Here is a 14,733-nt window from a genome sequence, read left to right on the forward strand (position 1 = left end):
ACTCATTTACTTATATCCCCTATTGTACTACACCTAATTCAGTGAATCACTGGTTAAAATGCTCAGACCCAACCATTAACATATCAGATGAAAAGACACAGCAATCAGGGATAATACCTGAAAACTCCATAGATTTTATTTATCTATAAGATCTAAAAATTGAATATTTTATATAATTTATAATATGAACTTGAATTGAGAACATGAATTTAAAACACGAACATGAGCATTTAAACATATTAGTAGGTGAAAAATCTGTAGGAAGTCTTAAACATAACTATCTTAGTAATATGTTCTGTATTTTTATTAGGAAATAAACTATTCTGTTTGGAGGTTCCTCAAAAAACTAAAAACAGAGTTACCATATGATCCAGCAATCCCACTGCTGGGTATATACCCAAAAGAAGAGAAACCAGTATATCAAAGAGATATCTGCACTCCCATGTTTGTTGCAGCACTGTTCACAATAGCCAAGATTTGGAAGCAACCTAAGTGTTCATCAATAGATGACTGAATAAAGAAAATGTGGGGCCAGACGCGGTGGCTCACACCTGTAATCCCAGCACTTTGGGAGGCCAAGGAGGGTAGATTACCTGAGGTCAGAAGTTCAAGACCAGCCTGACCAACATGGTGAAACCCTGTCGCTATTAAAAATACAAAAAAAATAGCTGGGCATGATGGTGGGCGCCTGTAATTCCAGCTACTCAGGAGGCTGAGGCAAGAGAATCGCTTGAACCTGGGAGGCAGAGGTTGCAGTGAGCCGGGACTATACTACTGTACTCCAGCCTGGGCAACAGAGCAAGACTCTGTCTCAAAAAACAAGAAAAAATGTGGTACTTATGCACAATAGAGTACTATTCAGCCATGAAAAAGAATGAGATCCGGTCATTTGCAATAACGTGGATGGAACTGGAAGTCATTACGTTAAATGAAATAAAACAGGCACAGAAAGACATACACTGCGTGTTCTCACTTATTTGTGGGATGTAAAAATCAAAAGAAACTCATGGAAATAAAGAGTAGAAGGATTGTTACCAAAGGCTAGAAAGGGTAGTGGGGTGTGTGTAGGAGGGAGGTTAATGGGTCCAAAAATTAGAAATAATAATTTCTAGTATTTGATAGCACAACAGGATGATTACAATCAAAATAATTGTACATTTTAAAATAACTAAGACAGTATCATTGGATTGTTTATAACACAAAGGATAAATGCTTGAGGGGATGGATACCCCATTCTCCATGATGTGATTATTGCCCATCACATGCCTGCATAAAAACATCTCAGGTATTCCATATATATACATATATATATATATATATAGAGAGAGAGAGAGAGAGAGAGTACCCACTAAACATATATCTGTAGTACCCACTATATATATATTATGTACCCACAAATATTAAAAATTAAAAATAATCCATTTTTTCTGATCTACAAATTCAACATACAAAGAGAAAAAAATAATGCTTTTCTATACAACATTTTCCTCTATCATGAAATACATATTAAGTAAAACCCCTTATACTTGAGTTATTTCCAAAATTTATAAAAAGTTGCTTTAAGTGATTAAAGTCATAAAATAATGGCTAGTGTGAAAATTACTGACAGTTCATATCAGCTGATGTAAATGAATCTCAGCAAAATGCTTAGTATAAAAGTTCATTTTATGTACAAACCTGTGAATATGCTAAAAGACATTCCATTGTACACCTTAAATGGGTGAATTGTAGGGTATGTGAATTATATCTCAATAAAGCTGAGCTTTTTTTAATTAAAAAAAGGCATAAAAACAAACCAAAAAAAAGCTCAATGTAATGCCTGTTGGTTAAGATGAACTATTCCACTTGTTCACCTAACGGCTAATGCAGAGTTCATTCACACAATTCATTCAGGCAGTTTTCTTAAAGCCCAAATATGATACAATGCTTTTACTTGGTATTTTTGTTGTTTGGTTGGCTTATTTTCCCATTTGTGTTTTTGTTTCATGAACAAAGCGAGTACAGACTATACCAACCCCAGGAGCCAAAAGTTGCCAATAAGTTGGTAGGTAGTGTTGCCTCAAGGAATGCAATCAATTCATCATTTATTCACTTTCTCCCTCATTCAATAATATTTATTGATTATCAGTTTGTTCAAGACACCAGGGATGCAGTGGTGAAAAATACTGACAAAGTCAGGTTTACTCTCTCTTGGTATCATGCTGCTACCAATTCATTGGTAACTTTAGGGGGCAGTGAAATGGGTGAATTACCACTTTCTAACCCTGAGCCTGTGGTATATGGAATAAAGAGTAAATGTATAAAATAAATATTTAAAGATTTGTCTAAGAGGGTCCATAAACTATTTCCTCTAGGTGTTTTTACTGTTGAAAAATCCCATCAATTAGATGGAAAGTCATAATCACACTTCCTCTATTATTACTAGTGTAGATAGATATAGACTATAACAGCTAGAGCCCAACATTTCCAATATTTTAACTAAGACAGAAAAGGTTGCCAGTGGGTCCAGGAAAGGGAGAAGTTGGGAATGCTGAGAAAGTCCCACCAAAGGAAACTATATCCCATGCTGAGCTCTCTATATTCACCTAAAAAGTGATCATGTCAGACAGAGTTTGAAATTATGAACTCTTATTATATAAATGGGGAAATACTGTGACCTAAAACAGACCAAAATAATTTCATTACATGGACAACCATGGCATTATTTCTATAGAACCAGAGACTATATCATTTCATTATTAATTTAATAACAACATAGAAGTGGGAGATAACATGATGACTTCAAAATGTGTCTTACTTGTTACAAAAGCTGAATGGTAATATCCACAAGAGATCCAGGAGACAGGTTTCCCAATGGTCACTTGCTGAGGGACACAGACATTACTTACATTTTTTAAACCAATTTGCCCTTCGGAATTGTCACCCCACATAAAAAGTCTTCCATCCTCTATAAAGAAAAATAAAAGGGGGAGAAAAGGTTTTAAAAGGTAGCCAGGCTCTGAAGCTATTATACTTCCAAAAGACCATTTATTTTATTAGTTCATAAAAATTATGTATCTTAACAATAAAGTACTACTAAGACATTTACACCAGCTAGCTACTTAAGAGTTCAATTTATATTGTGAAATGCTTCTATAATGATAAAGAACACAGAACAGCCTGATTGTAAATCACTTAAGTCCTGACCATATTTTTATCTCGATAGCAAAGACAGAATGCCCTTTCCTACAATCACCCTTTCCCATTCTGATGTTTCTAAACAGAAATGTTCTCCTCCTTCCAAGCAGCCTACCTGCAACTGAACTGAAAGACAGCACAGGTCACATTAGACACCTGCAGGTCAAAAAAGCCTGGAAGACCTTGCTCTTGGGAGCACTGTGGAAATGATGTTTTGAAAAAAGAACAGAAGAAACGTATTTCACTACATTTTTTTTCCTTATAATTTAAACCTGAAAACACAGAATCTAGCCTCAGAGAATGAAGATACAATAGCATGTACAGCATCTCAAAAATAGGTAACATATAATTTCTGATAAGGGTTTTGATGTCAGAAAAAGTTAATCTAGGAAAAATATTTTAGAAAGGAATTATTAAGACTTATTTATTTATATATTTTAAATAATTTACATTTTTGAAGTATTTTAATAATGCAAAACAAATAAATGAAAATAAGAACTGAAAGAAGGATGTCAAAATGCTAACTTAAGGGCTGACAAAATCTAAAGGACTGAGCCTCAGAGACAACTCTGACTTTCCTGATAGAGTAACACCGGATGTTACACAGTCTCCTGCTTGAAACAAAGCAGCTAACCAGCAGCTTCAGTAAGATCAAGCTGATCTTGGCTCCAAATTTTAAAGAAATGTCTCATATGGGCTTTTGGTAGGGAGGGCAGAGAGGTACAATGACCGTTGCAAACCACATTTTAACAACATATGCTGCAACAGATTTCTGTGGATGTTTCTGACAGCAACTTCAGTTAAAACTGCAAGTATAACTTTAAGAGCACACAACAAAAATAATATTTAAGAATATCTAAAGGAGTAGACAGACGGCATAGCTTAGAGCTTATTTGCCAATTACTTTTTAAATGTATATTTAAATAAGCACAAATAAGCATAAAATAAGCATAAATAAGCATAAAATTGCAGTATGTCAAGATTTAAAGTTATATTTTAAATGTTTTCTGAAAGCACATAGATAGTCGATGAAAGAAAACTAAACAGCAATGCTCCCTTCGGTTTACTGAGTTGGCATATATTGATCTACAGGAAAGGAATGTGTCCCAGACTGAAAAAGAAACAAGTCTCACCAGTTAGGGCAGCTGAAGTATTAGATCCAGCAGACAGCTGCTTAATCTTATGCTCGGATGTAAAAAAGCTAATTACATGAAAAGTGTTTCTTTCTTCGGTGTCACCAAGCCCCAACTGTCCTTCATTATTTCCACCAGTTGCATATACATTGCCTCCTTCTGCACATGGAAAAGAAAACGTCAATAGACTATAGAGTCCCCCTTTTTATGAGACAGGTCAGTGTATAGCAGCGATTTCCTCTATTAACAGTGAAGAAAGTTGAAAGCTATCACTATCCTATTATTTGGGAGACAACTTCATTTCATCGTCAAAATAAAGCAAAACAAGCAAGGCCACATATTTTTGTGAGATTTTAGAAATCAATCTAGAATGTAACTAGCAACTGAAATGAACAGAATGCATGGAACGTATTTATTTCTTGCTAATATAGCACTTTATTAATTCAGAGTAAAAACAAGGAAAGTAACTTCCAAACTAGTTTAAAATGCAAATCTATTTTAAAAGAGATGTGTCCATTAATTTTAACTTCTGTAACCATTAAAGCTAAGATATAATAGTACAAATAAGTAAAACAAGGCAAATCCAAGAAGAATCTAATTAGAAACATGATAATTCTTTGTATTTATTTTAACTTCCTAGCTAAATAGGAAGGCACTATAGCACTCTGTTTAGCAGGAAAGACTCCAGAGCCAGACTGCTTGGGTGCAAATTCTGGCTTACCACTTACCAAAGCTGTGGGACCTTGGGCAAGCCATAACCTCTGTGTGCCTCATTTTCCTCATCTATAAAATGAGGATAATAATAGTACCTACTTCATAGAGTTGTTATGAAGATTGAATTAGTTGAGATTTGTAAAATTCTTAGAACAGCATTTGGCTCATTTAAAGTATGTAAAAATGTTTGTTAATTACTCTGTTAATTAAATAAAAAGTACATCATGCCTAGATTATAAACATTTCCAGTAAGTTGTAAATTAATGAAGATTTGTAACACATAAATTAGTTATGTCATAAATATATAAATGAAGTTAAAGCCTTGCTAAATTATAAGGTGAAATGAGGGCAAAATCAGCCTGAGTTAGTAAAAATTTTAAAGTTATTGTTATTTTTATTTTTTGTTTTTAGGAAAAGACGAAACCTAATTGGGGAAACAAGACTAGCTTTCAAATGGAAAATACAAGGTCACATGCAATTGGAGTGCACAATTTCACACACATGGAGCAAACCAGAGTTGGTGAGATGCTGAAATAATTCAAACAAATAAATGAACACACAGTCACAAAATGTTCCATGAAAGAAGTTAACACTTAATGGGATCTCAAGAAATAATCTTAAAAGGCTAAGAGAAAGAGAAAAGACACTTCAGAAAGGGAAAGGTATGGAGAGGTGGAGAGGAGCTGAGGCAGTGAAAACATCCTGAAGACAGAATAAGTGGTGGTGGGGGAGGGGCGGGGCAAGGGGCAGGGGCAGGGGGAAGGTGGTAGGAAGTACTGCTCAGTGGTCAGGTCCTGGAGGTCTAAATGTTACAGCAGCATTTGCTGAAGATACTATCCTTTCTCTATTGAATTTCCTTGGCATCTTTGCCAAAAATCAAGTGGGCATATACATATGGGTCTAATTGTAGACTCTATTCTGTTTCATTAATCTTTGTCTATCTTTTTGCCAATACCTCAGTCTTGATTACAGTAGCTTTACAGCGAGTCTTGAAACCAGGTAGTGCCAGTCCTCTGTTATTTTTCAAAATTGTTTTGGCTCTTCTACGTCATTTGCTTTTCCATATAAATTTCAGAAGCACTTTGTTAATTTCTACAAACACACACACACACACACAAAAGCTCATATGGATTTTGATGGGAATTATGCTCACTCACATCAACAGCCTTCTGGGTGCCTTCCACTCACCCTTAGTAAGGAAGAGAGAAGAGCAAGAACAGGAATAACCAGCCCTTAAGGTGGACACACAGGTTAGGAGATGCTGTCCCATGATAGAATCCAAGAAAAGAAGCTTTTTCTTCAGCCATTTGACATTTACGTGTATATTTGCAAAGGCAAACGTGTACTAGCCATTGACATTTTAAAAAACCCTAATTTTACTGTTGCCAAAGTATAATCTCTATTAATTTTACAAAGCCACGTTACTGGAATGAGACCTCAGTTCTCAAAGTCAGGCAGGAAATCATACAGGTTGAGCACTATACCTGTTGACACCAGGGTGTGGTTCCTTCCACAGGCAGCTAATTTCACTTTTTCAGGTTTTAGAGCTAAAAATATTTAAAATGGGACAATTATTTTATAGCAATGAAAATGAACAGTAGTCCAGGACAAATGGTAACTAAGTGATAGAACCGAGATTTAATAGCGGGCTTGTCTGATTCCAAAGTCAATGTTCTTAACGAGCAAACCAGAGGTTTTCAGAACTGGTTGTGTACCATCATAACAAGTGGAGCTTTGAATACAATATAGATATCTTAGCCCCACCCCTATGGAATCTGAGTCAGTGGGTCTGAAGCAGCGGCTAGGCATTTATATATATAATTATAAACTCCACAGGTAGGCCGGGTGTGGTGGCTCCCCAGCACTTTGGGAGGCCAGGACAGGCAGATGGCTTGAGCTCAGGAGTTCCAGACCAACCTGGGCAACATGGTGAAACCCCTTCTCTACAAAAAAATACAAAAATTAGCTGGGTGTGGTGATGCATGCCTGTAGTTGCAGCTATTCGGGGAGGGGGTGCTGAGGTGGGAGAATGGCTGGAGCCCAGGAGGTCGAGGCTGCAGTAAGCAGAGATCACACCACTGCACTCCAGCTTGGGTGACAGAGCAAGACCCTGTCTCAAAAAAAAAAAAACAACAACTTCACAGGTAATTAATATGTGCTGAGACCCACTGTATTCTATTATGCTGCCTCCTCACCAATCTGATCCATTACCTAACCTGCCATCACCATTATCAAGCTCACCTTCTACCACATTCAATGAAAAACCGAAGACCAATATTGATAGGCATACACCTATCAGTCAAAGTTGTTCATTCATTCATCTACATATTCAAAAAACATTTAAAGAACATCTCCTACGTGCTTGGCATAGGGGCTGCAAAAAGATGACTAAGATAGAATCCCTGGTCTCAAGGATCCCATAGTCTAAACAATCCTGTTAGCTTGTCTATTAGATAAGATATTTGAGAGTAAGGGTCATGGTCACTGTGACTATCCTCAGGTGTTTAGACTATGCTCAATAAATACTTTTTGAACACATGGAATACTTTAAAAGTTCCATAACAATTCCCATAAACAGCATGAATATGATAAGCTACACTGAAATTTTGAGCTGAAATTAAAATTTAGCCAGGAAGATAAAAAATACTGCTCTTATTGCTTCTCAAGGAATCTCCATCATCCTTTCAAGTTTAGCTGATGTTCACAGGTTATACCCAAACAGAGGTTTTGCATATAACATCCAGAAAGCTTTGTAAGGGTATTATATATCTAATATTTTCTGGAACACTCCTGATTTCAAATATTTTGTCCTGTTGTTCTTTTACACTAGTACTAATCAATCCCTAGTCTCGATGTTTCGTTTACTTCACCTAGTCACTATATAAAGCAGGATAAGTATGTTTTATAAAACCAGCAACCAAATAGAAGCATAATGTCCACAACTGTATTAAATGAGAAAAGCTCAAAATTCTAACATATGTTTGTTCTCTGTATATACAATAACAGTAATATGTAAGTAGTTTTACAAACTAACAAACAAACAAAAAAAGATGGGGGATATTCAAATGCAATACTGTAAAATCATTACTTCCTTTGTGGTCCCTGGATTTAAAATCAATCTGATTTTTAGACCCTAACATATAAAAGCAGTTCTGAATATCATATAAAAGATAAGTTAAATGCTAATAATATTCAAGCAAATGTCAGAAAATAAAGAACTAAAAGCTTTATTATTTATGACATTAAAGAACTACACAGTCAACATAAAAATACTTTATACAGTTTGTGAAAAGATAAAAAGATCCCAAACCTTTGACACATGTTGGCTTGCTGATGGCTGACTTTGATCCTAATCCTAACTGACCCCAGTTGTTACTGCCAAACATGTAAAGTTTATTATTTCCTGGTAGGAGGGAAAAAGAAATAATCAATTGAAGCATTTTTCACATAATGTAAGATGAGGTCACCACAAAGCAATAAAAAGCTATACTTTTAAAATGTCACTGCTTTTCTGTGTTGAAATAAGTTACCTTGTTCATCTATGTATAACCAGTTTCTATTAGGTGGAAAAGAGTTTCTAAAATTATACGGTAACAGGTTTTTTTAAAAAATTATATTGAAATAGATTCATTCCAAGAAAGTTGTGTGTATAGAAAATCATACTTAAATATACTAAGGAAACTTAAAATTTAAAAGATGCTCTTGATGACTTATTTTGTGAAGAATTCTCCAGCAAAGTAAAAAACAACACTTTTGATAATATTTTCAACATGTTTAAAACACAGCAGCATATCTATAACAAAATATTTAGAATTTTCTAAGTATTACTGTCCTTATTCAGGATTGTAATACTAACCGGTAACAACAGCAGAATGTTCATCTCCACATGAAAGATGTACAGGGACATCATTTTTAAACCAGAATTTACCGGGATTATTTTCAGCAAATTTACTTTTCCCAAATGTAAACACAGCACCCGAATCTGCAAATATAAGACGGTCTTTATTTTATAACTTTTACTATGTTGCCTGTTATTAAAATAACTTTTGAGTAATTTATCCATACAAACCCCTTGTCTCATGACAGCTTTGCCCCCACTCTGGCAATGTTTAAGCCTTCCTTCTTCCACCTTAATTCAGTCTTTCTTATTCCTCAGACTCCATTCTAGTTTTATCTATGAAATCTACTAAATTGAACATGTATTACTCATATACTGGTATAAAGTAAGAAATATACTATCACAAGGAAGGCAGTCATCTATTACTAATAGTTCTGCTGTCACCAAGTAGATGTCTATTCCCTGGAATGAAATGGCACAATCTGTGCTATTCTTGTTCTAGTTAACACCTCATGGTCTGGCCTCTGACTGAGAGCTTTTCTCCACACACAGAAACAGGACAGTATTTCGTTTCCTCATTAACATCATCAGGCTATCCATGGGGAGAGTCTCTATCAGTCAATTTGGATTTTCTTTGGTCCAGTTTTTCCAAGGAACCTCCAGTGTTCTCATGTAAGGGAAACAATGTTAGCCCAAATGGTGAACTCTTTTTATTTTTGTTGAGACAGGGTCTCACTCTGTCACCCAGCTTGAAGCGCAGTGGCACAATCACGGCTAACTGCTGCCTCGACCTCCTGGGCCCAAGCAATCCTCCCGCCTCAGCCTCTGGAGTAGCTAGGACTATAGGCGTGTGCCACCATGTCCAGCTAAATTTTGTAATTTTTGCACAGACTGGGTTTTAGCATGTTGTTCAGGCTGGTCTCAAACTCCTGGTCTCAGGCTCAGGTCTCAAACTCCTGGGCTCCTGCCTCGGCCTCCCTAAGTGCTGGGATTGCAGGCGTGAACCATGACACCCGGCCAAAATGGTGAACTCTTAATTTCTCTGTTGGTAATCCCAATGAATACCCATAAAACCGGAGACAGCACAGAGAGAAACAAATTACTCCACCACTATCTCTTTCATTCGAACTAAGGGAAAGCAGCTAGAAAAAAAACCATAGGCTTTAAAGGCAATTAGGTATTCAAAGGTTGTTGTAAGGATTAAATGAGATGACATGTATAAAGAACTTAGCCCAGAGCCTAGCATCCTCAAAGTGTTAGCTCAATAGCTACCTCTGTAAACTCTTCCTCTACCATAAGAGTTGGAAATGATCACTGGCTTCTCTGAACTACGTGATCTGTAGAATTTATATGGCAAATAATTGTGCTACCTAGCAATCTCTCTAATCAAACTGTTACACAAATCAGCAAGATTTGTGTAACAGTTTGATTAGAGAGATTGGTAGGTAGCACAATATGTAAGATGAGGTCATCACAAAGCAATAAAAAGCTATACTTTAAAAATGTCGGCCGGGAGTGGTGGCTCACGCCTGTAATCACAGCACTTTGGGAGGCCGAGGCAGGTGGATCATTTGAGGTCAGGAGTTCGAGACCAGCCTGGCCAACGTGGTGAAACCCCGTGTCGACTAAAAATGCAAAAATTAGCCGGGCGTGGTGGTGGGCGCCTGTAATCCCAGCTACTCGGGGGGCTGAGGCAGGACAATTGCATGAACCCCAGAGGCGGAGGTTGCAGTGAGCCAAGATAGCATCATTGCACTCAAGCCTGGGCGACAGTGTGACTGTGACTCCGTCTCAAAAAAAAAAAAAAAAAAAGTCACTGCTTTTCTGTGTTGAAACACAGAGTTCACCATTTGTTACCCCAAATGTTGTTTTTTTCCAACTATTTTCTAAGGTTACAGAGGGTATGCACTACCCATATTGCCTAGCACAAAGTAGCCCTTGTGTGTTCTACTTTTCACACAGAAAAGGTCCCCCTTACACACATGTATATTCGTAACTGTTGAATGTTTTGTTTACCAATTCATCATAATGGAGAGTTTGTAGTCAAATATAACTTTCAACATTGTTAATATAAAAGACAGGTTACCAAGTCGTCAACAAAGGAGCACTTTAGCTTTTCCTGATTTCTGAGAATTCAGAATGTTTAGGGATCCAGTTATAAAATGAAAAGATCCTCTCAACACAGCTACTCAGGAAGTTTCTAATTCTCATCTTACTCATGCACTATAGTTAGTTATAGAGATGTCTTTTTCTCTTTCCAGAAACAGTACATGGGAAAGGACGGTTTATCTTTCCCCCCAAAACATCATCACAAAATGCCACGGTCCTAGGAGATTGGGAGAGGAGTACATGGGGATGTTGAGATTTTAACATTCTTACATCAAGTCATTACCTGATCTGAGTAGTATTCACAAACTGTTGTGGCACAGCGTCATTTTGAAGAAAGACTAAAAACCCCTACCATTTCCCAATAACCATTTAAACACACACATACACCAAATAGTAGGCCAGGTCCAGCTTTTGGGGAAATCCCAAGGTGGGTGATCACACATAAACTAATTCGTACCAGAAAGGAAAACATAGCGAATATAAGTATTAATAATAAATATTAATACGCAAGAGACTAGCCACTGTGGACAACTTTTTGAGAACCACTGTGAGGCATCTCAGTTCCAACTAATAATTGAGTTGGGAGACTAGGATCTAGAACAGACTCTGAGTTTCCCCAGAATGAATTACTTTAACATTTTAACTGTTTTGTCTTGGCTCCCCTGGCTTCCCTGATACCCTCATCCCAAGCCAAGGTTTGGTGGCTCTGCTCTGGCCCTGTAATATCTACTGTCAATTTATATGGTCATTTTGTTTACTTTCCTGTATGTCTCACTAAATTGTGAACTGCAGGCCAGGAATGTCAGTTCCGGCCAGGAGCATGGAAGAAAACATACATATTTCAGTGAAGGTATGATTCTGCTCAAACCCAGTGTTTTTTCAAAATGGTCGTGACCTATTAGTGGGCCAGAAAATCAATTCAGTGGATCACGATCAGCATTTTAAAAGAATGCATTATCAAAAAGGTGTGTGTGGAATCTAAGTGGATAGAACAAGGACTGCTTCACCAGACATCTATTTCTGTTACACGGTATATATGGAGTATCGGGTCACAATGTCAAAAGTATTTCTAACTATGGAGCTCAGGAAAAAAAAGGCTAAAAAACACTCGCTAAAGGGTCCCTCTTCTCCCTCTTTGTCCAATTTATTTCCTGTATCCCCTTTTACCCCACAGCCCTGATCACTCACTCTTTACTGCATTCAATACATAACCGGGAGCTCAGGACCTCCAAAGTGCACAAGTCTGGAGTCCGCACTTTGGGGAGTTTACAGAAAGTGTCCCTCCCTGGCCGGGCGCGGTGGCTCACGACTGTAATCCCAGCAATTTGGGAGGCCGAGGTGGGCTGATCACCTGAGGTCGGGAGTTCGAGATCAGCCTGACCAACATGGAGGAACCCCGTCTCTACTAAAAATATAAAATTAGCCGGGCGTGGTGGCGCATGCCTGTAATCGCAGCTACTCGGAGGCTAAGGCAGGAGAATCGCCTGAACCCGGGATGCGGAGGTTGCGGTGAGCCGAGATTGCGCCATTGCACTCCAGCCTGGGCAACAAGAGTGAAACTCCGTCTCATAAAAAAAAAAAAAAAGTGTCCCTGCCTTCAAGAAGCTCATCAAGAGCTTATTTAAAAAGCATACGAAAGACAGGCACCCTCTTTCCCGTTCTCCCCCATCCTGTTCTTCCCGTCCGGTCCTCTGCCCTCAGTCATTCGCGGGAGCGCAACCAGCGATCCCGCCCCAGTCCGGCTGCCAAGCCTGGGGCCTGTCCCCCTACAGGGCCGATCCGGAGGCGGGGCCCGGCCGCCCGCGGACCCTCCCTCCCGGCCTTCCGCCACCGGCGCGGGCGCAACTCACCGGGCATCAGCTCTTCCGGCTCCCTCATGCCACGGGCAGTACGGGCAGCCTGCGCCGGGGCCAGGAGGCTGTAGAGGACGGTTTGGTCGGGGCTAAAGCAGCTACTCCGCACCGACGCGGGCCGCGAAAGCCCCCAAGTTCCGCATGGCGAAACTCCGGAGATCAACTACAACCGCGCTCCCGGAAGTCAACAAACAGCCGCTACGGGCAACGGGGGCGGAGCTTGGGAATGCAAGGCGGGACAGGCGCCGTTGGGGAGGGGAACGGAGGCCGGGTGGCTGGTAAGGGGCAGGCTCAGGCACAGCGGAGGGGCAGTAGAGACCACGCGCCCTCTGGCGGCCTGGAGCAGAGAGGCGGCCACGCCGCGCAGTGATGCTGTGGAGTCCGCGCCCTTGTGCCGTTGGAGGTCCAGGCGCCGCAGGGACCCTGCCCATGAGTGGCAAACGTCACAAATCCCATACTCCGTGACATAAGCAAGCATCGACACACAATTATGACACTACTAGTAATAGTGACCAGCTGGAACATTAAAGGAGGTAAGCACTCTGCTAAAGATATCCCCAGCATCTAAACCAACATCTGGCCTATACTGAATGCTCATTACGTATTTATTGGACAAATGAGTACTATTACAACCCTGTAAAGTGGTTAATGTTACCTCTGTTTAAGCATGTGGGCAGCTAGTCCAGCTAGTCCAGCCTGTAGTCAACAAAAGTAAAAGCTGAGGTGTATATGGTCCACTACTCACAGAACATACACAAAGGGGTAGCCCAACATCATTGCTCTAGAATTTGCTCAGCGATGTTATATGATGCAGGGTTTCCCATGCATCAACATTTGGCTATCATGAAATAAAGAAGCAAAAAGCCATCTTCCAGAATGAGCAGATTTACGTACGTTTGGTAGTTGTGGACATGGGCCCTAGAATCAGACACAATTGGATTCAGGGATCCCTGAATTACTCTTGTGTGTTACCAACACTTTCTCAGGAAGTTTGCATTAACATGAAGAGGGGACATTAAACTATTAGTTACACAAATAATCATTTACTTACAAAGCAAAGTGGAGGTTACTAAGGAAGTGGTTAACAAGAAGCGTTGACCTGGTGTAGGAGGTTAAGAAAGGCTTATCTGAAGAAAGAACATTAAATCTAAGAACTGGAGAAAGATAAGCCAGGAGGGGGAGAGAGCTCTTGGCAGAGAGTAAATTGTGTATAAAGGTTTGTAAGGAGCTTGACTCTTTCCAGGAACACCAAGAGGCGAGGCTGGTTCCTAGCGAGGTGGCAAGGTCTTGGGCCTATTAAGGATCTGAGATTTTATCCTAAAGACAATGTGAAACCACTGAGAAGTTTTAGGCAGTAGAACAACAGGACAGGATCAGTTATGTGTGTCCCTGAAATCATTCTGCCTGGTCTAGATGCTTTGTAGAGAATAAACTGGAGCAGTGAGAAGGGTTCAGAGGCTATTGCAGAATTTCAGACATGTGGTCAGGATGGCTTGGAGTACAGTTCATTGGTGCCAGAGAGGAGCAGGCAGATTTGAAAATATTTTAGGTCTTAGAATCAACAGGAAATGGTTTCTGACTATTGACTCCTAGACAGTGCTGGACTACCAAATAGTTCTTAGAGCAACAGCAAAGATAGGGCCCTAAATTATTTTGAAAAGGATTTGATATTCATTTTTAGAGTATCATAATTGTTACTACGGGCAAATGAGAATTTTTAAAGATTTACTTTTTAATATGCAGTCATTTGTTTTTATTTCAAAATACAGTAAGGCACATTTTGGTGCTAAGCATCCCAGAAGATATTGATGCAGCCCTACTCCAAGGTTTCCAACATAAGCAAATAGCAGGAGGGGGGCACCATTTACTGAGATGGGGAACACTGAGGAAAGAGCTGGCGACATTGGAG

General features: G+C 39.2%; 2 protein-coding genes across 19 annotated transcripts in view, besides 1 other annotated feature; one reads left to right on the forward strand and one right to left on the reverse strand.

The window, feature by feature from the left end:
* Nucleotides 1–12,991, reverse strand: part of RPGR (retinitis pigmentosa GTPase regulator) — a 58,347-nt gene extending 45,356 nt beyond the window's left edge. For 14 of the 18 annotated variants that reach the window (NR_159807.1, NR_159805.1, NR_159806.1 and 11 more), the window contains exons 1-6: nt 12,822–12,991; nt 8,881–9,006; nt 8,335–8,427; nt 6,509–6,571; nt 4,311–4,469; nt 2,798–2,947 (exon numbers count right to left, since the gene is read on the reverse strand). Coding sequence is in view for 11 of the 18 variants with exons in the window: in NM_001367250.1 (NP_001354179.1) it covers nt 2,798–2,947; nt 4,311–4,469; nt 6,509–6,571; nt 8,335–8,427; nt 8,881–9,006; nt 12,822–12,849 (619 nt within the window). In the remaining 7 variants the exon portion in view is untranslated. Of the gene's footprint in view, nt 1–2,797; nt 2,948–4,310; nt 4,470–6,508; nt 6,572–8,334; nt 8,428–8,880; nt 9,007–11,254; nt 11,418–12,159; nt 12,435–12,618; nt 12,715–12,821 lie in introns of those variants that run through there. The other 4 variants (NR_159808.1, NR_159804.1, NM_001367249.1 and 1 more) reach the window with 4 other exon arrangements.
* Nucleotides 12,680–12,929: a silencer, noted in NCBI's record as "silent region_20735". NCBI's record gives its function as "represses an Ori minimal core promoter by ATAC-STARR-seq in GM12878 lymphoblastoid cells {active_cell/tissue: GM12878}" and the evidence as "EXISTENCE:reporter gene assay evidence [ECO:0000049][PMID:35858748]".
* Nucleotides 13,166–14,733, forward strand: part of OTC (ornithine transcarbamylase) — a 95,245-nt gene continuing 93,677 nt past the window's right edge. Inside the window, exon 1 of the mRNA NM_001407092.1 lies at nt 13,166–13,357. The gene's annotated coding sequence lies outside the window, so the exon portion shown is untranslated. The remainder of the gene's footprint in view (nt 13,358–14,733) is intronic.

The sequence above is a fragment of the Homo sapiens genome, chromosome X (assembly GCF_000001405.40).
Source record: "Homo sapiens chromosome X, GRCh38.p14 Primary Assembly".
Classification (NCBI taxonomy): Eukaryota; Metazoa; Chordata; class Mammalia; order Primates; family Hominidae; genus Homo; species Homo sapiens.